General features: G+C 47.6%; 1 protein-coding gene across 8 annotated transcripts in view, besides 4 other annotated features; it reads right to left on the bottom strand.

Moving 5' to 3' along the window:
- Positions 1–23,372, bottom strand: part of TBXAS1 (thromboxane A synthase 1) — a 242,052-nt gene that overhangs the window by 19,053 nt on the left and 199,627 nt on the right. The window lies entirely within an intron of this gene.
- Positions 2,965–3,165: a silencer, noted in NCBI's record as "peak6785 fragment used in MPRA reporter construct". NCBI's record gives its function as "represses an SCP1 promoter by STARR-seq MPRAs in K562 erythroleukemia cells {active_cell/tissue: K562}" and the evidence as "EXISTENCE:reporter gene assay evidence [ECO:0000049][PMID:32103011]".
- Positions 11,809–12,326: an enhancer, noted in NCBI's record as "H3K4me1 hESC enhancer chr7:139688714-139689231 (GRCh37/hg19 assembly coordinates)". NCBI's record gives its function as "activates a minimal SCP1, AML or CMV promoter by ChIP-STARR-seq in primed H9 embryonic stem cells {active_cell/tissue: H9 hESC(primed)}" and the evidence as "EXISTENCE:reporter gene assay evidence [ECO:0000049][PMID:30033119]".
- Positions 12,382–12,881: an enhancer, noted in NCBI's record as "H3K4me1 hESC enhancer chr7:139688159-139688658 (GRCh37/hg19 assembly coordinates)". NCBI's record gives its function as "activates a minimal SCP1, AML or CMV promoter by ChIP-STARR-seq in primed H9 embryonic stem cells {active_cell/tissue: H9 hESC(primed)}" and the evidence as "EXISTENCE:reporter gene assay evidence [ECO:0000049][PMID:30033119]".
- Positions 12,882–13,383: an enhancer, noted in NCBI's record as "H3K4me1 hESC enhancer chr7:139687657-139688158 (GRCh37/hg19 assembly coordinates)". NCBI's record gives its function as "activates a minimal SCP1, AML or CMV promoter by ChIP-STARR-seq in primed H9 embryonic stem cells {active_cell/tissue: H9 hESC(primed)}" and the evidence as "EXISTENCE:reporter gene assay evidence [ECO:0000049][PMID:30033119]".

Raw genomic sequence — 23,372 nt, 5'->3', positions numbered from 1 at the left:
GCCATCCCCCAGGGTTCTCTCTGCCTCCTGTTTCAAAGGCCAAATTACTGAGAATTAGAGCTGGGGGGAAATCTCAAAATCAACCTTTGCTGTCCACACCCAATGAGGAAGCCCCCCCTGCAGCGCCTCCCCTTGACCTTGGCCTGGCTTTGGGTCCCACAAGGGAGGCAAAGGGCAGGGTTCTGTTCCGGGTCTGTAACCCTTAGCCATGGCCTTGGGCCAGTCGTCAGGACAGTATCTACAGGACCCCTCGTCTGTAATGCTGTCCCACCCATCTTGCAGAGTAGAGTGAACAAGAAGATGAAGGTGGAAGTCTTTGGCAACTGGAAAGTACCTCCTAAGCAGGTGATATTTCTGTTTGAACACATTCAGTGGCGGGAAAGCTTATTTCAACATGAGGCGCTCTGCTCTCTCTATTGAACTAGGCTAATAGGATGTGTTAAGGGAGAAAGAAATTCTAAAATCCTATCAAATTCATTTCAGCTGGGACTTATTTTATAAAATAACTGCTCTTAGAGGGTTGAAAATTAAATATTGGGAAACATGGAAATAAAATAAACAGAATCTTTACCTAGTGATTTACATTCTCAAACCAGAGTTTCTTCATTTTGGGGGAGACTTTTTCATATGTAGTTGATTTTCAATGGGCAGTAACTTCTAATTTTATTCCTAAGATTCTTGGTCTCTTAGTCTTTCCATCATATAGTTTAGGATCTAGAAACCAATATGTGTTTGTTTATTTTCTTGCTCTGTGGCCCAGGCTACAGTGCAGTGGTGCTGTCATAGCTCACTGCAGCCTTGAACTCCTGGGCTCAAGCGATCCTCCTGCCTCAGCCGCCAGAGTAACTGGGACTACAGGTGCAAGCCACCATGCCTGTCTAATTGTTTTTTGTTTGTTTGTAGAGATGCGGGGACATCTCACTATGTTGCCCAGGCTTGTGTTGAACTCCTGGACTCCAGTGATCCTCCAGTCTCAGCCTCCTAAAGTACTGGGATCACAGGCATGAGCCACTCTGCCTGGCCCAATATTTAAATACATTTAAATACAATAGATTAACCTGATGGTTTAGGGAACTAACTCTATGGGCAATCTATCGATAAATCCTTTTATGTAGGAAATAACAGTACTGCCCTCTCCTATTAATCTCTTTTCTATATTTATCATTTTGTGTATCATTTTCTCTGAAAGCTAGACACACACACACAGTCACACACCTACACATACGCCACACACTGGGTGTGTGTGCAGATGTCATCTGGAGTATAAATGAGAAAAAGAAAATAAAAATGTCATTGCTTTCACAAAGATTTTTCCTGGAGATTCACGGACCTAATAGAAAAATTATCATTTTTCTATGTTGTTAAAGGAAATAGAAGCAGAGGTGGCTTCAGTTTTCTTCTTCAGAGCAGTAGGAACAGCAGCATCTGTAGTAGTTATGCCTACCCAGCTGTCACTAGACTTGGTCTTATACTAAGAAGTAGGCCAAGTGATGCTGGCCCTTGCCCTCTAGAAGCCGGAGCTGGAAATCCCTTAAGCACGAGGACAGCTTGGGGCAATACAGCCATATGAAGAATAAAGATTTCCATTCACTCTGATTCTCCAGGGACCGTGGGACTATAATATGAAACCAAGCCGTGGAAAATGGGGTGACCTTCGCTTTGCCCTTCTGACCATAAACCAGAGGCAAAGCCCCTCACCCTTGCAACTGGTTTTTTGGAGACAGAGTCTTGCTCTATCCCCCAGGCTGGAGTGCAATGGTACAATCTCGGCTCACTGCAACCTCCACCTCCCGGGTTCAAGCGAGTCTCATGCGTCAGCCTCCCAAGTAGCTGGAATTACAGGCGCTCACCACCATGCCCACGTAGTTATTGTATTTTTATAGAGACGGGGTTTTACCATGTTGGCCAGGCTGGTCTTGAACTCCTGACCTCAGGTGATTCACCCACCTCGGCCTCCCAAAGTGCTGGGATTATAGGCGTAAGCCATGGCGCCCGGCCAGCCCTGAGTTCTTATGGCAAGGTTGGGAGGGAGCTGAGGTTCTCTGAGCTCTGACATTTCACCTTCTAGATCCCATAGCTCTGTTGTCTGAGTGGGTCCAGTGAGCAGTTTCAAGGCTTGCAGGGAGATACGATGGAGGTTTGGTTATGAGAGGGGGTGATAAATCTTTCCATCCACATTGCTGGCTTCCCTGGCCAATGCCCAGAAAGTTCTCTGTGCTAGCTTCAATAATTTGGCAGATTTAGATGTTGAAATTCATCCATACTCGAGAAAAAGTAATTAAGAGAGTGTACATGGCATCTATTTATACCTGCTTTAGAAGGGGACAGAACCCGTCTCATAAAAACACAGAGATTTTTCCAGGTGTTTTTGTACTCTGAGGCCCAGGCCATTAAGGGATTAGGTGCAGAGATGTAATGAAAAAACATAAACCAGGCTGCGTGCGCACACAAACACACAACCCACGGGGCATCAGTCTTCTCCATGATGGCTCTGGGCTGAGCTTCACTGACAGTGCTGACCTGCTGCAGAAATTGCTGTCTGCAGAGATCTAGAATAATAATAGTGTTTTGCCTTGTGAAACACTTTATTGCTCACCAATGGATTTTTACATCCATTATACCATTTGGTCTTCACAACCACACTGTGAGGTAGGTAGAGCAGCTTTTATTGTCTATTTTATAGATGAAAAAAAACCAGATATTTGGAGAGGTGAAGTGACTTGTCCCAGGTCGCACGGCCAGTTAATGGTAGAGTTGGAACTGAATCCAGGTCTTCAAATTCCAAGCCTTTTCCATTACCTGGGCCTACCTGGTCTTACCTTCCCTCCCTCCAGCCTTCCCTCCCTTCCTTTCCTCTTGTACATTTTATGGAAGAATAACACGCATATGGAAAAATATGACACAAACACAAACTTAGAGCTCAATGAATTTTCACACTGTAAGCATTCCTGTGTAACCAGCACTTAGACCAAGACAGAACCTTCCAGCACTTGGAAGCACACCCGTGGCCTCTCCCGGTCACATGCCCCTCAGTAGTAACCACTGTCTTGACTTCTAACACGAGAGATTACTTTTGCCTCTTTGTCTTGAACTTCCTATAAATGAAATATTTCCATGCAGGCTTTTCGGTCTGCCTTCTTTTGCTCAGTTTCATGTCTGTGACAGTCACCCATGTTGTGTGTTGTGGTGTGTTCATCCTCATGATTTGGTGCTCCATTGGGTGAGCTGCCCCGATTTATCCATCCTTTTCCTTGTCAATGGACATTTGAGTTGTTCCCAGGTTGGGGGCCATTATGAATAAAGCCTTATGAACATTCTTGTTTATGGCTTTTGGTGAACAGAGTACAGGTTTCTGTTGGGTGTACATCTGGGCATGGCACTGCCGGGTCATGAGGGATGTGTATGTTCAGCTTTAGTAGATATTGCAAACAGTTTGACAGACAGGTTGTTCACACTGCCTAAAATTTTAACAGTGAATCAGTTGAAAAGCAGCCTGTTGACATCCTAGTTTCTTCTATTTACTCTAACTGCAGGCTCCTCCCCAGTTTCTTCTCCCTTCCTTGCTAATATTCTGAAATGTAACCACTATCTCTATTCCAGGAAAGGACTGAGAGAAAGAAATAGGGCATTGTTTTGGGAGCTGAGTTATTTATTCATATAGTGTGTGTGTATAGTGGGGGGAGGGGGAAATAGGAACAAATAAAACACATCTAATTACCTAATTTTTAAAAATTGCCCCAATTATCAGACACAAGCACTCAGCACTCATAAGCAAAAACGCATTCCAACATCAACTAGATTCGAGTCTTTGAATTATCTGCTGTTTGGTAATATTTAGGATTCTGTTTTTTCCATTAGTATGGAACATTCACAGCTGACTGTATATGATGTTGAAAGAAATAAGCCCCTAAGTAAGTGATAGTTAAATCACCTAGCCCACTTTCTCTGCACTGGGAAGTGAGTGGACCACATTTAATTTGCAGAGAAAATGCTTTTGTTCACTCACCCCACAGATCCTGGTTCCCTCTATTTACTCCGATTAGCAGAGTGTGTGGGGTGAGGGGCAGGGAAAGAGAGGGGATAAGATACGGTTCTGTGCCATATAGAACTTACTCTGTATTTGGGAAACCATTTATTTGTTCATTCACAGATTTATTTTTATGGTAATAGGGAGCCACTGAAGGTTTTTGATGAGTCAAGATAACATACTGAAAATGGCTTTGTGTGATCTGACAACGACATGTAGGATGGCTGAGGTAGAAAGAGTTGGGAAATAGGTCAATAAGACAGGAGGTTCTTGCAATAGTCCAGGCAAAAGTGAGGTGCTCCAATCACAAGGCCAGTAGTCAGAATGGGAAAAGGGGCTGAAAGAGAGAAGCCTTATCAGCAGTGGCTGTCTATCTTGGCTGTTCCCTATTGATGCTGGGGCCCATCCCAAAACATTTCCACTTAATCGGTCTGGATTGGGGTGCAGGAATTGGTATTGTTTTAGAAGTCCCCCAAGGGATTATCACATGCAGCCTGGATTTCAGAATCACTGTCATAAAGGAAGCTCTACCAGGGGAGGTGAGGGTGTTGGGATTTAACGGGTCAGGGAATGAAGAGAGATGAAAGGGATTCCCTGGTTTCATTCCTAAGTGGCTGAGAGAAACACAGAAAGAGGACCACATGGGTGGGGCAGCATCTTCCAGGGGAAGGAGATCAGCTTTTGCAGGATTTTGCTGGAGGCCCCCTCCACCACCCCACCTGGGTGAGACCGTGAGCAGCTTGGCGTAGAAGTGGGGAGATGGTATCGCACAGACGGGGATGAGTCCTCTGGGATAGGGGTAAGAAAAACAAGCACAGAGCCAAGCATTGAACCTTAATGCTTCCCAGGGGAAGGTGGCAGGGCAACTGGAAAGTAAGGGACCCTGGAAAACATCTCAGATCTCCTGGACAGTGCCTGGGAGATTCAAGACTAAGAGAGACCATTGATGGCTGGCACGGTGGCTCACGCCTGTAATCCCAGCACTTTGGGAGGCTGAGGTGGCAGGATTGCTTGAGGCCAGGAGATCGAGACCAGCCTGGACAACATAGTGAAACCCCATCTCTAAAAAAAAAAAAAAAATGCCAGACATGGTGGTGTGCACCTGTAATCCCAGCTACTCGGGAGGCCGAGGTGGAAGGATCACTTGAACCTAGGAGTTTGAGGCAGAGTGGACTATGATTGCCAGTAATAATAATGATAATAATGAAGAAGAAGACGCGCCATTATATTTGTCAACTGTGGCAGGGACAAGGCCAAAACCAAGTCAGTGGGGTCGCAGGATGAGTAGTTAGAGAGGGGATGAATGAGAGGGAGCGAGGGGAGACTGGCAGACTGCTTCTACCAGGCACACTGAAAGAATTTGGGAGAACAGAACAAACTGAAGGGAGGCAGGAGCGCATCATCACCCATCTGCAGGGTGAGCCCATGGCCAAGGAAAAGGCAGTGCTGTGCCATGCAGTTGTGGGGGTGGAGCCAGGCCCCATGGCATCAGTCCCAGAAAGAAAGATTCTGACTCCACGTGGGGCAGGATTTTCAAAGGACTACAACTTCACAATGCAATAGGCAAGCCCAGGTCCACCGGGGCTTTTCACACGAGGTTATGGAGCATCTGAAAAGGTCGCTGTGGGATATTCATAGGTCCCTCATCAACAGGAGAGCCACACGAGAGACCCCAAGGTGCCCTCCACCTCTGGACCGGTCTGATGCAGCATGGCCACGCCCCCACCCACCCAGGGACAGCCTCATGACCTTAGCAGATCCTGGTCACTCTGCCAGGCCAAATAAACGTGACGGGAAGGCGGAGAGCCATCAACTTGCCCTCCGCACACCCCTCCTGCATTTCCCATCCCTCATCTTCGTGTGCATCTTGTTGATGATTTGCTGTAGGAGTCAGAGAGCAGGTCACTAGCTGTTTGGGGAAATGGTAAACAAAGATAAGAGCTTTAAGCACTGGAATTTATTTTTTATCCACTGGCCTAAAAGCAACTGCATGTTAAATTTAGAAAGCTGGTGCCAGACCCCTCCCCGCCCCTCCTGCTTCCTGCTCCTCTTACCGCCCATGCTCAAAGCATGGTCTCAGCTGACTATAGAATACGAGATGTGTTTGTAAAGCCCAGGAGTCTTCAGAGGCTGCCTGCCTGGATGTTTATAAAAATGTCTCATCTGAGGGCCTGGGAGAAAGGGGCCGTTTCCTGCGCTCCCCAGCTCTGCTCACCATTCTAGCAGCAGCCATCTCTGCCCAAATATTTACCCAAACGTCCTCCCTGGTCAGGGCCCTGGGTGCATCAGTCCCCCACTGTCGTCAGGTGGGATGCCCGCAAGGGAGGGGGCAGCATTTTCAGCAGACCACCGATGGATTTATTAATAAGGCCTCCCTCACGCCTGGGAATCTATTATTGAACAGCTCTCTTTTCTCCGTGGGTTAAATCCCTTTGCTACCAACTCTAAGAACCTGCAGAAATCCTTCTATTGACCTGGAATTCTGTTGTATTGAATATTGTCTGAAATAAATGAGCCATTGTCTGGGCTCAGAATTTTCTGGGTAGAAAGAGATCTCCACTGTGATGTAATTTATTGCAGCAGGAGTTTTTTTTTTCTTTTTTTCCAGCTCATCCTGAATTCCCTATTGCCCACTCGGTCCATTTTCACAGTCCAGGATATAAGTGGGGAGGGCTAGGCCCAAGCTTAAAAAAAAAGCCTCCTTTGCCCAAGGATGATGTCCAGAGGCCTAAATGGTGACTGGTACCAGATTTTAAGGGCTACTGAGTAACTGAGGTCCATTTGTGTGGCCAGCTTAGAAGAAAAGAGATCAGACCAACACTCTCAGCTGGCATTGGGAGACCAGTCATAGGACAGTAAAAAGGGAAGAGCAGCTGGGCACAATGGCTCACGCCTGTAATCCCAGCACTTTGGGAGGCCAAGGCAGGCAGATCACTTGAGGTCAGGAGTTTGAGACCAGCCTGGCCAACATGGCGAAACCCCATCTCTACTAAAAATACAAAAAATTAGCCAAGTGTGGTGGCAGGTGCCTGTAATCCCAGCTACGCGGGAGGCTGAGGCAGGAGAACCACCTGAACCTGGGAGGCAGAGGTTGCAGTGAGCCCAGATCACGCCATTGCACTCCAGCCTGGGCAACAAGAGCAAAACTTCATCTCAAAAAAAATCAGCTGGGCATGGTTGTGCACACCTGTAATCCCAGCTACTTGGGAGGCTGGGGCAGGAGAATCACTTGAACCTGGGAGGCAAAGGCTGCAGTAAGCCACTGCCCTCCAGCCTGGGTGGCAGAGTGAGACTGTGTCTCAAAAAAAAAAAAAAAAAAAAGAAAGAAAGAAAAAGAAAAAGCAAAGCAAAGCAAACAAAGAGCAGTTCAACCCTCCCATTGGATGGATGAGGAACCACAGCCCAGAGAGGTGAAGTGACTTGCCTAAGCTGCACAGCAAAGGAGGGGGCAGAGGCAGCGTTAGACCTCAGGCCTTGGGATGCGGGTCCAGAGCTGTGCTCACTGCTACATTGCATTGGAGACAGAAGGGTTTAACCACAAAATCCAGGAGGAGAAACTAGGCATCCCATAGCTAGATGGGATTTTTAGTGTTCAATTGATAAGAAATTGTGGAGCATGCTTCTCGGGTCACACTGTGAGAATCTCAAGAAAGACAAGGCCTTGTGGAGAAGTGCGTCCATTCTAGGCCCAGGCAGCAGGGCCGCAGGGTCAGCAGGAGATGAACTTGAGCAGTAAGCTTTGGCATTTCTTAATACCCTGTATTCACTGATGGATACCTTGATTTCTCCGGCCTCAGGGACTTCGCTTACAATTGGGCAGTGTAGGCTTGCCCAATACAATTAGAATTTTTGATACATTGTGCAATGGACTGAATGTGTGAGTCCGGCCTCCCCAGGTTTATGTGTTGAAACCCTATTCCCCAACATGATCATATACTTGGAGACGGGGCCTCTGGAAGGTTATTAGGGTTAGATGAGGTCATGAGGGTAAGTGGGGACCTCGTGATGATATGACTTCCCATTTATGTATTTATTGAGACCGAGTCTCACTCTCTCCCAGGCTGGATCGGCTCACTGCAACCTCTGCCTCCCGGGTTCAAGCAATTCTCTTGCCTCAGCCTCCCAAGTAGCTGGGACTACAGGTGTGCGCTACCATGCCCAGCTAATGGTTTTTGTTGTTGTTTGTTTTTAATTTTTTTATTTTTAGTAGAGACGGGGTTTTTCCGTGTTAACCAGGCTGGTCTCAAACTCCTGATCTCAGGTAATCCACCCACCTCGGCCTCCCAAAGTGCTGGTATTATAGGCGTGAGCCACTGCACCAGGCCTAATTCCCTTTTTAAAAAGAGGAAGAGACACAAGATCCAGTCTTTCTGTTTCCTTTTAACTCTGAGAGGGAGATGCCTTCAGCGACTTCTCTACCTTACATGGCTTCTCGTGAAACTACCAGGTTTGTGCAGAGCTAATCACTCCCCATGCCAAGAACCGAGCTGAGTGCTTCTGAGGGCAGCTCCCTTTGCAGGGAGGAAACGAAGGCCCCCAGGGCTTGGGGAGCTTGCAGAGGCCACAGGCAGATGGTGGGAGAGCTGGGATGGAAACCAGGCCTCTCTCCAGGGCCGCCTCCTCCACCTGATGCTATTTCAGCCCTTTGCCTTCTTCTGCAGCTGATGGCTTTTAGTGAAAAAGGCTTCTTGCCAAGAGTGGCCTCTACAGTGGCAAAACAAAGTAAAAACGGCCCCCAGAGACATGGCTCCGCGAGCTTCCCCGCTAGTGTGGGCCTTTGGACCCAAGAGAGTGGCCCTCCCCTCTGCTGGGAGCTGGCGGGGTGGATTAGGATACATGAGAATGAAGTTCTTGAGGAGGGAGGTTTTTTAAAAAATTAAATTTGGGGGTGGGAAGAGATTTACTAAATCGCAGATAGCACATGCCTCAGAGCCTTGATAGCCAATTTCTTATCTTCCATGGACCTGGAGTTTTCATGATTGCTCAAAGCAGCGGAGATGCTGGTCCATGCCTCACCCCCTGGCCTGCTAGTTGTGAGCAGGTGAAGGGGGGCTGCCAGCTGGCCTGCAGGTGGTCCCCACCAAGCCTCTCAAGGGAGAACTGGCAGATCATACCCCCTTGTGCCATATTGCTAGAGCGGACAGGGAGGGCTTGCCTCCCTTGGCTGGGCGTTGGGGGAGAGAAAGGCCATTCCATGCCATCCTTCTTCCCATATGAGGGATTCCCACGAGGCTCCCCTGCAAGTGAGACCCATACTCCATCTCTCAGGGAATGGGAAGGGTCTCCCCTCGAGCTCTGGTGCCTAGGCTGGGGGCCAAGTGCTCCCAGCTAAAGTCCCTCTTGCCCCACCTGCTAGAGAGCTGCCCGTGCTCTCCGGGGCTTCAGTCCAGTCCTGACTCTGTGCCCAGTTTTTGTTACCCTTTTTTGGTTTTCTTATCTCTGCTATGGGGCTGCTCTTCTAATGTGGGACAAAACCCCAAAAGGGTGATTATGGCCCTATGAGGCCAAGTCACCACTCCCCATCTTCCATGTAAAACGATTCTCTGTTTATGTGTTTCTATGTCTTTATGCTTTTATTTTATTGATTGATAGATTTTTTGAGAAATCAACACTGACTCTTTCTAATAAGAATTTCATCTGTTCTGCAAGGGTCCCCTTAGCAGCCTGCGTGCCTCCCTTGATGTTCATAAATGACCTCTCCCTTAACCTTGACAGTCATTCCATTGGGCCTGTGTCACCTGCTGCCTGCTGTCTGCTGTGTACAGAGCATTGTTCTGGGGTGGGGTGGAGACGGGTGATGCACAGTCCCTGGGGGTGGAGAAGCCAGGAGGACACTGGTGGTGACAGGGAAGTGTGGGCACCGTGGCAACATAGGGGGGCAACATATGGGGGCATCGTGGGGGTCACGGACCTGCATGGGGTAGGGATGGGAGGGATCAGAAAGACTTTCTGGAGAAGGTGAGGCTTATGCTGAAGCAATTTTCAAAAAGCATTTGTGTTCTTTCACACAGAAACAATAAACGCACTTAAACAAGGTTTTGGAACAAAATCGAAACGAGTTCCATCACAGCCGTGCCATTTAGTGCCGTTTTATTGGAGCGCACGCTCTCTGTGGTTTCTGCTTCTGCGTCGTTCCAGCCACGTTTCAGCCCATAGATCGTGGCAGTGGCACGTGTTAATTGCGGCAATTTGTTTTGGCCATGGATCTTAAGGAATCATTTGTTTCTTTTGTCTTCGTGTCTCTGCTCCTGCAATGTCCTGCTGCCTCTGTGCCCCCGTGCCTGCACCGTCGGGAGGCTTCTCCAAGGGGGTTAGCCTGAAGGTGGGGACACACTGGACTGGAGTCCCTCCAGGTGTCACAGGTGACTCTGCCACAGGAGGGAAGTCCTGAGGGGTGGGGCCAGCTGGTTGGAGGGGTTTTTGCAGGATCGTAGGCCCAGGCAGCCAGGGGTAGAGGTCAAGTTCACAATCATGGACTGGGCAACCAGATGAGAGTGGTAGTGGGGGCAGGGAGAGCACAGTGCCGGGGGTGGGGAGGGTGGCAGCAAAGAAGCCACCAGAGCGGCCCCGAGAGGGGGCACAGCTGAGCTGGACCCTGCGGGCTCCAGGACAAGAGGTCTCAGGGGTCAGAACCAGGGGTAGTAGATGACTGCCCAGCAGAGATGAGGAGGCTGGGGTCCCTGGAGGACAGGAGGGTTCCCGTGCCCCCAGACAGGAAACAGGTGCTCGAGGCTGGCTGGCTCTGGGCGTGGCCAAGTCAAAGCTGGATCCCTGAACTCCACACTCCTGAGGCTGCCCCTTCCGCCAGGAGACACAGGTAGCTGCAGTAGTCATGCTGGAATGAATCTGCTGCCCTTCAATACCAGGCCCTGTGCAAGCTTAGGAAGGAGGAATGCTGCGCTGGGGCGAATGCGCCCTCACGTCCCCTGGATGCCAGCCACCACCGCCAGCTGTGCTCACACTTTCAGATGGCCTCGGGGTCTCCCTTCAGAGCCAAGGCCCTGAGTGAGGGGCAGGGAGGTGTGGGTATAAGATGAGGACTAGGGAGGGGAGGCCTGGCCTGGGGGAGGAGAGGAGAACAGAAGCAATGGGCCATTTATGAGAAGAGGGCAGGCACCAGGTGAGTTTCACTTGTGTCATTTCATTGAGTTTTATTTTACAGACAGGAAAACTGAGGCTCAGAAGGGTGTGTGCTTAAGGCCGGCGGGCAGGCCTGTGGTGTTTTGCATAAGGAGGAGCTCACAGTGTTAAGGGAGTGAAAAGCCAAGTCGGCTTGATTCTAAAACCCATGACAATGATGAGCAAAGATGGGCAGGACACAAATAATTGTCTCTTCCTTATAAGGCAGGACAGGCAGGGACTCACTCAGCACCCTGATTGCTATAGGACCATGGCATCGGAGTGACCAAGGGAACAATCAAAGGTAGAAGCCAGATAGGCAGGGCATCCACCAAGCTAGGAATGCAGAGATGGGCCCGCATGGGGCCAGAGATCTCAGGAACAGGAAGGATCTGCGTAGGCCACGGAGGACAGGACTATGTGTCTTCAGTATTCTAAACCCGGGCCAGGGAGATGGGGAGGATGCTGTGAGGTCTCTTCCCAGCTCAACTGGGTGAAGCCCCTGCAAAGACCACAGGGGTCCTCCCTGTGTCTTGGGCAAAGTGAACAAGGTAGATTGCTCTGGCTAGTGAGGGCAAAGCGGTGGGGCAGCCCCTTGGGAAGGAGGAGGAAGCCATGTGGGAGCTCTGCAGCCACGCTCACGATGTCGTTAGACATGGGGAGTTTCAGCCTTGTTGTTTTCCTTAGGCTTGGCCCTTCAGCCCTCTCTGAGCCTCTGTGGAGCTGTCTGGCACTGGGCCCACGGAAGTGGCCATGACCCTTGCCTGTCTTTGCAGTCTGATTTGGGGGTAGCAGCTCCCCAACCTAGCTTGCTTACCCCTCTTCTCTGACTCCCTCTGATGCTGACTTCTTCTCAAAGAGCAGTCGCTCAAAAACTGTCCCCAGGCCAATGAGGGCAACCCCTGAGGGTCTTGGCCAGACCCATGGGTCTCTTTGGAAAGTTTCTGGAAAAGAGCTCAGTGCCCACGTGTTGTTGATTTCTGCTATGGGCAGGGCAGGAGCGGGAGGAAGAACACCGGGAGGATCTTCTAAAGGTTTGCTAACCCTGCAATGCGCTGCCTCCCTCCTTAGAGATCACGGAGAGCTCTCCCTCAGCCCACTTCGGGAGTTGCCCTGCCCGGGCACAGACAGCTGGGTGAACCTGCCTCTCCCCTCACACACCAGACCAGCTGGGACTACCTACCAATGGCCCATCGCACAGCACCCTGAGCAAGAGTGTTCCTGCTCCCGCCACACGGGATGCCTGCTCCTTGTCCTCGACTGTGCCTTTTGCCCTCTGGCCTGGACTACAGATTTTCAAGTGGCTGGCTGGGGTCTGGAGTTGATTGGAGGTGTGGTGGGACCACTGGGGCAGACTACTTTGTAAACCAAGACCAAGAAAGTGCTGTATGTGTCCCGGGCATCCATGCAAGCTGGGCTGATGGTCAAAGGAGGCTTTGGAGGGGCCAGGCAGCTGAGGCAAGCAGAAGTACCCCATCCTGCAGCGTGGAAAGGTAGGAAGGAGAAGCCGGAGGGGAGTAGGGAAGAGAAACAGCCCTCAGGGTTCTGGGCAGGACCACGGCAGAAGTCAAGATGCAGAAGCAAGGAGCTGGGGGCTGGTCAAGGTGAACACAAAGGGAGCTGGTAGGCCAAGGAGCTTCACTGTGTCATTAGATGATGATGCAAACCCAAATGTCCATGGGGCCAGGTGGGACCATGACTGTGAGTCTGTGGTCAGAACAGCGCAAGTGTGATGGGTAAGGGCCACTGCATCTGGGCCTTGACGGGGCAGGTGGAGGCGCTCGGGCTAAGCTGGAGCCACGTGCTTGGCAGGTGACTGCCAGAGGTGATGGCCTCAGGGTGGCCTGAGCTTCCGTTGTCTTCAAGAAAAGCTGGTACCTAGATTTTTGCGGAATTCCCCTGAGTTTAAAAGTTTGGCAATTAATTCAAATGTAGTAAGCAAGCTAAAACCTCTGCAGCTGTGCTCAGCTTGTGGGCTGCCTCTTTCTGACCCTGTCCCCTGGCGTCCTGCTGGGACAGGCCTCTTTGGGCTGGACTGCAATGTCTGCCCACTTTGGCCCAGTCCATAGGATGCTGTGATTGTTTTTCTAATGAGCTAAGAAAAGAAGGACCTTTCCCAAAACTTATACTAATAACACTAGGTACTGGTGGAGTTCCGTTCTTTTGTGGAACTGGTGATCTGCATGGTGGTGCTACTGCCCCCTAGGGCCTGGGAGGTTCCCGTGGCCCCCAAAGTCTTTTGGGCCCCCAGATTACTTAGTGTCCCAATGTGGTTTTTCAAAAAGTAAATTAAAAATAGGGCAGCCATAATACAGATTTAAGACAAAAAACGTCTGGAACTAATTTTAGAAAGCTCTTCATATCCCTGCGAATTAGCTTCCTCTCTGATGAGTAGTCTTGGCGGGAGGGTTCCATTAGAATTAAACATGATTTATCATTAGGTGACTGTTTTAGGGTCGGGGGTCCTGACAACTGATTTATGGCAAGTGAAGTTGGAAGACACAGGGTGAGATGGGACATGCGTGGTGCTGAGGAAGGGGACTTTAGTCCTGCGTGCTCCTGCAAGAATAATGGCCAGACAGGCTGGAAAGAGTAAAATGCAGTTAAACCAAAGGGCCACGTCCAGTCCCCACCCCAGGGGAACAGAGCTGTCGGCCAGTCTTAGCCAGAGCACACTCACTCTGGTCTGACCCATTCTGGCCTCTCAGTGTGTGGGGATGTGAAGCTCCCGTCTTGGTTGGGGGAATAGAAATAGACCCCAGCTTTAGTCTCCCCGGGACCCTGGGGCTCTGGTGTGGAAAGGGCAGGTGAGAACAGCTTCCTCTTGCTTTTCTATTCCCAATGGTTCTCAACCTCGGCTGCACCCTGGAGTCACCAAGGAGCTTGTGAATATCCCAAATGCCAAATGCCCAGGCCGATGACACTGGAATCCGTGGGGAGCCCCAGGCATCAAGCTCCCCAAGGTGGCTCCAGGCTGCAGCCAAGCACGAGAAACTCTGTGACAGAGACCCAGGCAGAGTGCTGGCTCATGACTGCACTGCTAAGCTCTCAGGGCACTGCCCAGGCCAATTGCTTCTAGAACATCATACCGATTCTAGCTCTTACAGATAGCCTGGGGGATTCTTCCAGGGCCTGACTCTGCTTTCCACATCAAATTTCCACCTTGAGAGCCAAGATCGCATAGTGGTTAAAAGCAAACTTGCACACAAATTCGCAATTGCAAAAATGTGGAACCAGCCCAAATGCCCATCAACTAGTGGATAAAGAAACTATGGTGTATATATATATATATATACACACACACACACACACACACACACACACACACACACACACACATATATATATATGTATGTATATATATATATATATGATGGAATACTACTCAGCCATAAAAAGGAATGAGTTAATGGCATTTGCAGCAATGTGGGTGGAACTGGAGACGATTATTCTAAGTGAAGTAACTTAGGAATGGAAAACCAAACATGGTATGTTCTCACTCATAAGCGGGAGCTATGAGGATGCAAAGGCATAAGAATGATACAATGGACTTTGGAAACTTGGGGGGAGAGGTGGGAAGGGGGTGAGGGATAAAAGACTATAAATTGGGTTCATTATATACTGCTTGGGTGATGGGTGCACCAAAATCTCACAAATCACCCCTAAAGAACTTACTCATGTAACCAAATACCACCTGTTCCCCAATAATCTATGGAAATATTTTCTTTTAAAGTATATGGGAGTCAGACTGCCCAAGTTTCAATTTATGCTTCACCACTTCTCAGCTGTGTGGCCCTAGTCAACTTAACTCTGGCAGCCTCAGCTTCTCACCCAGGAAAATGGGGATAATCCTAGTCCTACTCCACAGAGTTGTAGTCAGCAAAAAGCGTGGCCCATGGACCTCACTTAGAATAACACTAGCGCATAGAGAGAACTCAACAAACATTCACTACCTCTGCTACTACAGACCTTGTAAGGCCTCCCCATGTCCATTCTGTGGCACTCCTCCGCCCGCCAGCCTGTTTAGGTGGGCCGCTGTTCCGGTGGGCCTGGCCAACACTTTGTTTTCTCCCTGAAGATGCTCACAGAATGCTCATGTAGCACCTCATGCCACACCTGGAGACCAGGCCCTGCCATGGGGCCATGTTGGGAACAGGCTCCTGGGTGCTACCAACCAGGACCTCAGTTCTAGGCCCCCGATGGTCCACACACTATGGGGGAGGGCATGGAGCTGGACAAGAGGAAGTGGCACCCGAGTCTGTAAGCGCCGTCCACCCATTCATTCCTCAGGGCACCTGTGATGCTCCAGTTCCGTGCTGGACATTGGGGGATGCTATAGTGGGTCTCACCTTATGGGGAGCTTCCAGTCTAGTGGAGGGGGACAGATGAATCCCATCAACAGACGTGAAATCACCAGTGCTGAGTTTTGAAGATGTGAGGAGGGTAAAATAAGAAATTGGTCACCAAACTCTAGATTACTTGAAGGAGTTAATTTTTTAGAACAAATAATAGGAAGTAGCTTTTTCATCCAGTGTATTTTATACTTATAGGGCTTATCAGTCTACAGGGTTACAATAATTGAGATAAATTTAGATAAATTCAGAGATGACAACCCGATAATGGGTTATTAATGATGCACTAACGACCACCCTGGCCTTTGGAAGCAGCTGATAACAGGGCAGCGGCTACCGCTCTGTACTCCACACCATCAGCCCACACCAGGGTTCGCTGCCATTCAAGGCATGTCACCCTCTAGAGGGACACAGACAGTCAGGCTAGAGGGGTGGGGGGTGGATGGGCAGGGGACCTGAAACCCTGCCACATCAGGAAAAGCTGCAGAAGCCAGAGGGACATAGCCTTCAACTTTGTAAAGGGCCACTGTGCTTTGGGGTCCCAGAGTTTGAAACCATGGATGGAAGACACAGGGAAATGAATTAATTGGAGGACACTGGTCTGGTCTAGCCTCGTGGAAAGTCCTGCCTTAGGAAGAGGTGAGCCCCTCGCTCCTGGAGTGACTGGCAGAATGATCTCCAGCAGAATCCTGGGGAGGGCATTTGAGCCTTAGTTGCTGGGACTGACCAGCGATTTCTGAAATCCTCCCAGGTCCTCAGATCCTGGTAATTTGATCTTTTCTTTCTTTCTTTCTTTTCTTTTCTTTCTTTCTTTCTTTCCTTCTTTCTTTCTTTCCTTTCTTTCTTTGCTGCTTTCTTTCTTTTCTTTCTTTCTCTTTCTTCTTTCTTTCTTTTCCTTCCTTCCTTCCTCTTTCTTTCTTCTTCTTTTCTTTCTTTCCCCCTTCCCTTTCTTTCTTTCTTTTCTTTCTTTCTTTCCTGCTTTCTTTCTTTCTTTTCTTTTTCTTCTTTCTTTCTTTCTTTTCCTTCCTTCCTCTTTCTTTTTCTTTCTTCTTTCTTTCTTCTTCTTTTCTTCTTTCTTTCCCCCTTCCCTTTCTTTCTTTCTCTCTCTCTCTCTCTCTCTCTCTCTCTTTCTTTCTTATTTTTTTATTTTTGATCCCTAGGACAAAATAGTGTCCTGGGGAAATGGGACATCAAAAAGGTAATTTTGGCTGGAGGGGCAGGAGGGTAGAAAAATTTCTAGTTCAAAAGGAGAGAGCAACCCAGGAGTGGCAGGTGAGGGACCCTGGTTACTGAGGGGGCAGAACGCAGGTGCTGAGGCTCTGGGTGGAGCAGAGGCATTGTGGCAGGTCAAGGAGGGACATGTGGAAGGGACACATGGAAGGGACGTGAATCTAAGGTTTCTGACATGGCTCTGTAAAAAAGGAATAATAGGAAGATTTGAAGATTTGAAACAAAGTAGCAAAATAAAAAAAATAAGTGGGTACCAGGCTATGTGCTAAGTATGTTATTCCACTTAACCAGCCCTCAGTCTAACAGAGCAGATGCTATTATTATCCCCTTTAAACAGTGAAGAAGCGAGGCTTAGGGGGAACTGTGTCATGCCCCAGGGCCACATGGCCGGGTAAGGGGTCCAGCAGCTTTAAGCCAGGGAGGTGGGCCCAACGTCCATACCCTCAGCCATCTTCATCCTACTTCATCACAGGGTCGGGGAAGATACAAGTGATGAAGGCATTGTGGTACCTGCAAGATGCTGTTTGTGCATCTCACTGGCCCTGAGTGGTGCTGAGCCTGAGGGTTGGAGGAGACTTTCTCCACTGGCAGCTCCAAGGGAAGGGGAGCTCCAATCCACTTCTCTGTGCAAACTGATCGACTACTGAACTAATAAAAATATTGGAAGGAAGCCCTGAGTTTGGATTCTGCAAACCAGGATGAACTGTGGTAGAGTCACAAGAAAGGGCTCTGGGAAAATGGCTTTCTTTGAAATTTGTTTATGACAACTAGAAAAAAAAATGTGTGCGGAGTGGGCGGCTCCTGGAGAGGATCCAGAGGACAGTACACTGAATGATGACAAGATCCCAGAAAGTTCTGTATGTTGTTTGAAAATCTAGACTGAGTAGGTGAGAAAATATATAAAATACATGGAGATCTATTGGGTTGGTGTCTTTCTTCCCGCCAGTTTACTCATCTGCAGGCATCTCAGCTCAGCAGCCCCTGCATCCTGATGACAGAGGGTAAGAGACACAGCAAGAAGACTGGAGTTCTGTATTTGCTGTGTGACCCTGAGAAAAACACTTAACCTCTCTGAGCCTCTGTTTTCTCGACTCTAGAAGGGAATCTTTATAACAGATACCCTACCGACTTCATAGATTAGGGAGAACAAATCACAACAAATAATAGTTTTTCTTATGTTTTTATGTTTCTATGTTTTTCTTATGTCACAGATGGCACCAATCCCAGTGAGAGCACATGGAAGGTTCATGGTTGAGACCTCCTGAGGCACCAAAATAGTGAGCCGAGGTTGAAGATGGGGCAGGGCAGTAAGATGCCAAAGATCAGAGGGTGCGTACCAAGACAATTTGGTTTAAAATGTTGATATCAGTCAAGAATGTGCCATAAGCAATGATGTAATCAGTTTGCATCAGAAATGATATAAAACATGGAAATTTGAGAAGAATATGAAGTATAAGGAAATAGTATACAAGTAATATAATTATGTAAAATAAAACAAGTAAATGTGGATCCCAGAATGTGTATTACAACTTGGAGACCAGGAAAATGGATACTAGAAAGAGTGGTGGAAGGAAACCAGAAAACGCAGGGTTGGGAGTTGGGGGACCTAAGTTTTATTTCGAGTTTGGCCACAAATGAGCAAAAATTTTCCTGGAAAGGCTCTTAAGGAACCCGATACATTTCCTCGTTTGTAAAGTAGATTTTAAAAAACCTCCTCGTTCATTTTCCTGAACTGTGACCCTCTAACCCAGTGTTTTTCAACATGTGGGCTGTGATCCTTTAGGGGACCATGAATTCAATCCATGAATTCAATTTAGGGGGTTAAGAGTGGCATTTAAAGAAATGAAATCAACTAGAACAGGATGTCGAGCAGATTGTACATAGAAGGTGACATGTTTCCTAAAACTTTTTGTTCCATTTATAAGGGATGTGTGTTCTGGGTTGAATTATAAATTATATTTCTTATGATGAGATTGTAGTCCAAAAAATCTGGAAAACAGGGCTATAATACCCCTGGTACTGTCAAGAAAGCCCAGGCATGCTGCCTGCCTCAGTTTCCCCCTTTGCACTGGCACCTCTCTTGTCTGATCTCTTTGACTCTGTTAGTGTTCCTAGGAGAGCCAGCCTCCCCCACAGTCTAAAGATATCAAGGTCCCAGCAGTAAGTGCCTTTCTCCATAAAACAGCACCCCTCTGCCCTGCCAGAGAAGAGCCAGTAGAGAGAGGTTAAACTGCTTATGAAATACAGAGTTGCCTGATTTATCAAATAAAAATATTAATATAACCATTCAGTTAAATGTGAATTTCAGATATACAATAAGATTAACTTTTTAGTATAAGTATGTCCCAAATATTGCATGAGATACACTAAAAAATTATTTACAGTTTATCTGAGATTCAAATTTAACCAGAAGCCTGTATTTTATCTAATAACCCTAAGTAACTCATAAACAAATAACAAACAAGAGGGAAATTTTCAGAAGATTAAGACTTTTAACTGCTTCAAACTACAAAACTTTGTGTTTTAATATGATCATAAATTAACAGCTGTATTGTATTATGCAAATTTATGTTAATTTATTCACTATCTGTCATCACACTCCAATAAAAATTGTATATATGACATTTAGGGGAAAAAAATGACATCTTTCTGATAAGAGTTTTCTCTGCATTTTGGTGGCACTGACACCTTTGGCTCGCCTGGATGCTGCAGCCACAAACCTTCAGGGCCAGGCCCTTTGTGAGCGACTCAATGAATTACTTATGGTCTGTCTGGAATCCTCAAGAACAATCCCAGTGAGGGGCCAGTGGTTGCTTTCCCTCCATTTTAATGCCTAAGAAACACAGCTTGGTACCGAAATAACAGGGGAGACTGTCTCTGCCTTTCAGCTAGAGGTTGGCGGCCTCCAACCAATCAACCCTGTGCAATAGGAAGGTGAGCTTGACCAGACGAGCAAGGGGAATGCATTGTATTTTGAATCTCTGTGCTGTCCTGTGTCTTGATGATCATACACAAGGGATAAAAAGCCATTCTGCTTCACTTTTCCACAGCACAGCTAATGTCCACCGGTCAGCTAGTTTAATATTCAGAACATCCTGGCCGGGCATGGTGGCTCATGCCTGTAATCCCAGCACTCTGGGAGGCCGACGCAGGCGGATCACCTGAGGTCAGGAGTTCAAGACCAGCCTGGCCAACATGGTGAAACCCAGTCTGTACTAAAAATACAAAAATTAGCCGGGCATGGGGCATGGGTGGTACAAGCCTGTAATCCCAGCTACTCAGGAGGCTGAGGCAGGAGAATCACTTGAACCCGGGAGGTGGGGGTTGCAGTGAGCCGAGATCGCGCCACTGCACTCCAGCCTGGGTGACAGAGCAAGACTGTGTCTCAAAAATAACAATAACAAAAACAAAACAACAACAAGCCATCCGTAGATGTGTGCTTTCAGCCTATCTTCAGGCTGCTTTGCTTAGTTTTTTGTTGTTGTGGTTTTTACTGATGATTATCATTCTTTTGAAGGGAAAAAAATATACTACCAGTATTTTTGGTTTCGCTTTTATAATTTTTTTTTTTCATCTGTGGAATACTGCTTGTGGAAGAAATGCCTGTGTCTGTTCTGGAAGGGAGGGGTAAAATGTTGCTGAGGGCACATGACAATTTCCACTCTGGTGCAGACAGTGAAGCCTAGAGGCAGACCGGAAGCCAAGTGGCCTTAAGGAGTCTTTGGAGAATGCCAGGCCAGGCTCAGGAGACAGGCTGGCTGCAGAAATGACAGGGGGGGAAGGCAGGTGAGGCCTGTGCAGGTAAGAGGGACTCTTTGTTTATCCTGAACAGAAAATAGAGACATTGATGAAGGACTCCAAGGAGAAGACGGGGAGGAAACGAGGGGAGGAAGTGGAGGAGAGATGATAGGAAACTCCTCCTTAAGGTTGCCGACTCCTAACTTTCTGAAAATGACTAAGGAAGAGAAATTCCAAGGGAGAGAAACATGTTTCTTTCTTGGTCTCTGGTTATCCCACCTGAGGAGAGAGGCCTCTGATGACCAGACATGGACAACAGGGAGGTGCTGGTTTCTGGAAATGTGTAACCAAGTTGGAGCACCAGCAGGGATGGATTACACCCACGGGCCACCTCTCATTTCAGATGATTCGCATTGATTCTCAACTCATTAGGGAAACCCGCCTTGCATCTCCAAGGGCTTCGAAATTTGATACAGGAAATAAGATGTGGAGGTAGGGGTGATGTTTCATCCCTTCTTCTAGTTGTAGGCCATAACTTTAGAAAAGAAAAGCATGTATGGAAATTTAACAGGATACCATTTAGATGCCCGCAATGAGCAGGATTTGTTTTGCTAAATTATGGCTCATATCAGCAGAAATCTCTGGAGTCTGAGGACCCGCACAGGCCTTATTAAGTGGTCTTTAAGCTAAATTTTGAGGGCAGGGAGAAAAATGCTGCTAGGTACAGCAATAAATCGATAAATGACAGGTTTGACATATAAATTATTCCCAAGGAAAGAAACCCAGGCGACGGAATAAATAGAGGAATTCCTGATATGTGGATTTTACGTGAGGAAAAAAAAAAGCAAAACCCAATGTTACATGGAAATATTGACAGAGTTTTATTTTAAGGCACCCAAGGCAGACAAGGAAAATGTAAACTTGTCAAATGTTACATAAAAAAAACCCCAAAAAACACAACAGTATACTTCTTAGCTGAGGGTTTTTTCTTTCTTTTGCTATTTATTTATTATTATTATTATTATTATTATTATTATTATTATTATTGAGATGGAATCTTGCTCTGTTGCCCAGAATGGGGAGTGCAGTGGCATAATCTTGGCTCACTGCAACCTCTGCTTCCTGGGTTCAAGCAATTCTCCTATCTCAGCCTCCTGAGTAGCTGGGACTACAGGCTCACGCCACCAAGCCTGGCTAATTTTTGTATTTTTAGTAGAGGCGGGTTTCACCGTATTGGTCAGGCTGGTCTCAAACTCCTGACCTCAGGTGATCCACCCACCTCCGCCTCCCAAAGTGCTGGGATTACAGGTGTGAGCCATCGAGCCCTGAAGTCTTTTGCTATTTATTTTTCTGTTGTTTGATCTGTTTATTGGTTATTGAAGCAAGTTTTTTGTTTTTTTTTATGGTAAAGATGGACACATCTTGACTTAATAGTATTTCTTTGTTGCTTAAAGCTGAAGTTAAAAATGCCATTTATTCGCTCTAATGTCGTTAGGGATTTAGTGGCAGCAGACAGAGAGGGGACACCCTAGAGAGGAGAAATGACTTTGGGAACTTCTCATCACCGTGACAGAGACCTGGCTCCGGTGGTGGTAAGAAAACAGAATTCCTAGTGGTGTGCCAGTGGGTGCCATTCCACTGTATATAAGCACCTGCTCCTGGAACGATCTACCTCAGACCTTGCAGTCATTCCCAAGATAACTCCCAGGAGCTCTGGAGCCAGAGGATCGAATTCAAATCCAGCCTCTGTTTCTGCCTCTACCTTGAAGTCACTTACTCTCTGAATTTCAATTTCACTTTAGTCTTTTTTAGTTTTTTTGAGACAAGACTATTGTTTTGTCGCCCATGCTAGAGTGCAGTGGCACCATCATAGCTCTCTGCAGCCTCCAACTCCTGGCCTCAGGCAATCCTCCCACCTCAGCCTCCTGAGTAGCTGGGAGTACGAGCACGCACCACCAGCCTCAGCTAATTTTTGATTTTTTTTTTTTTTTTTTTTTTTGTAGAGGCAGGGGTTTCACTATATTGCCCAAGCTGGTATTGAACTCCCTGCCTCAAGTGATCCTCCCACCTTGGCCTCCCAAAGTGCTGGGATTGCAGGTGTGAACCACTGCGCCAGTTGCTTTAATCTTTAAAATAGGGGAAAATATCTAATTGGTGTTAGAATTGCCTGGAATAACACCAAGAGCACCAAGAACAGAGCGCGTGTTCAATGACTGATAATTCTTATTATTCTTCTTTATTTCTTTTTTCTTTCTTTTTTTTTTTGAGACAGAGTCTCACTCTGTCACCCAGGCTGGAGTGCAGTGGTGCAATCTCAGCGAACTGCAACCTCTGCCTTCTGGTTTCAAGCAATTCTCCTGCCTCAGCCTCCCGAGTAGCTGGAATTACAGGTGTGCACCACCATGCCCGGCTAATTGTTGTATTTTTAGTAGAGACTGGGTTTCACCATGTTGACCAGGCTGATCTCGAACTCCTGGGCCCAAATGATCCACCTGAACTCTGCCTCCCAAAGTGCTGGGATTACAAATGTGAGCCACGGTGCCTGGCCTCTTATTATTTCTATCATAATTATTATCAATATTATTTGATATTGAAGACTTGACCCCACAGGATCACTGCTTGAGAAAAACATGCTAGAAATGAGATGTTTCTGCAGCAGGCCTTAACACAGCCAACATAGACCCCACAGAGGAACAGCTGGCCACAAGCCACAGACTGAGCACTGGGAGGTGGACAATACCCCCGACATCGTTCAAGTGACCCACAGTGAATCAAGCCCAGAAACAACACCACTGAATGGTCCGTGTGTTATGGAACTTGAGATCCTTTCATCAGATGCTTCTAGGAGACTTTTAATTTATCCAATATTTTTGGTTAACAGGGCCTATTTCTTTATAGAGCTAGGT

This window comes from Homo sapiens, chromosome 7 (assembly GCF_000001405.40).
Source record: "Homo sapiens chromosome 7, GRCh38.p14 Primary Assembly".
Classification (NCBI taxonomy): Eukaryota; Metazoa; Chordata; class Mammalia; order Primates; family Hominidae; genus Homo; species Homo sapiens.
This window is presented reverse-complemented; position numbering and strand designations above follow the sequence as displayed.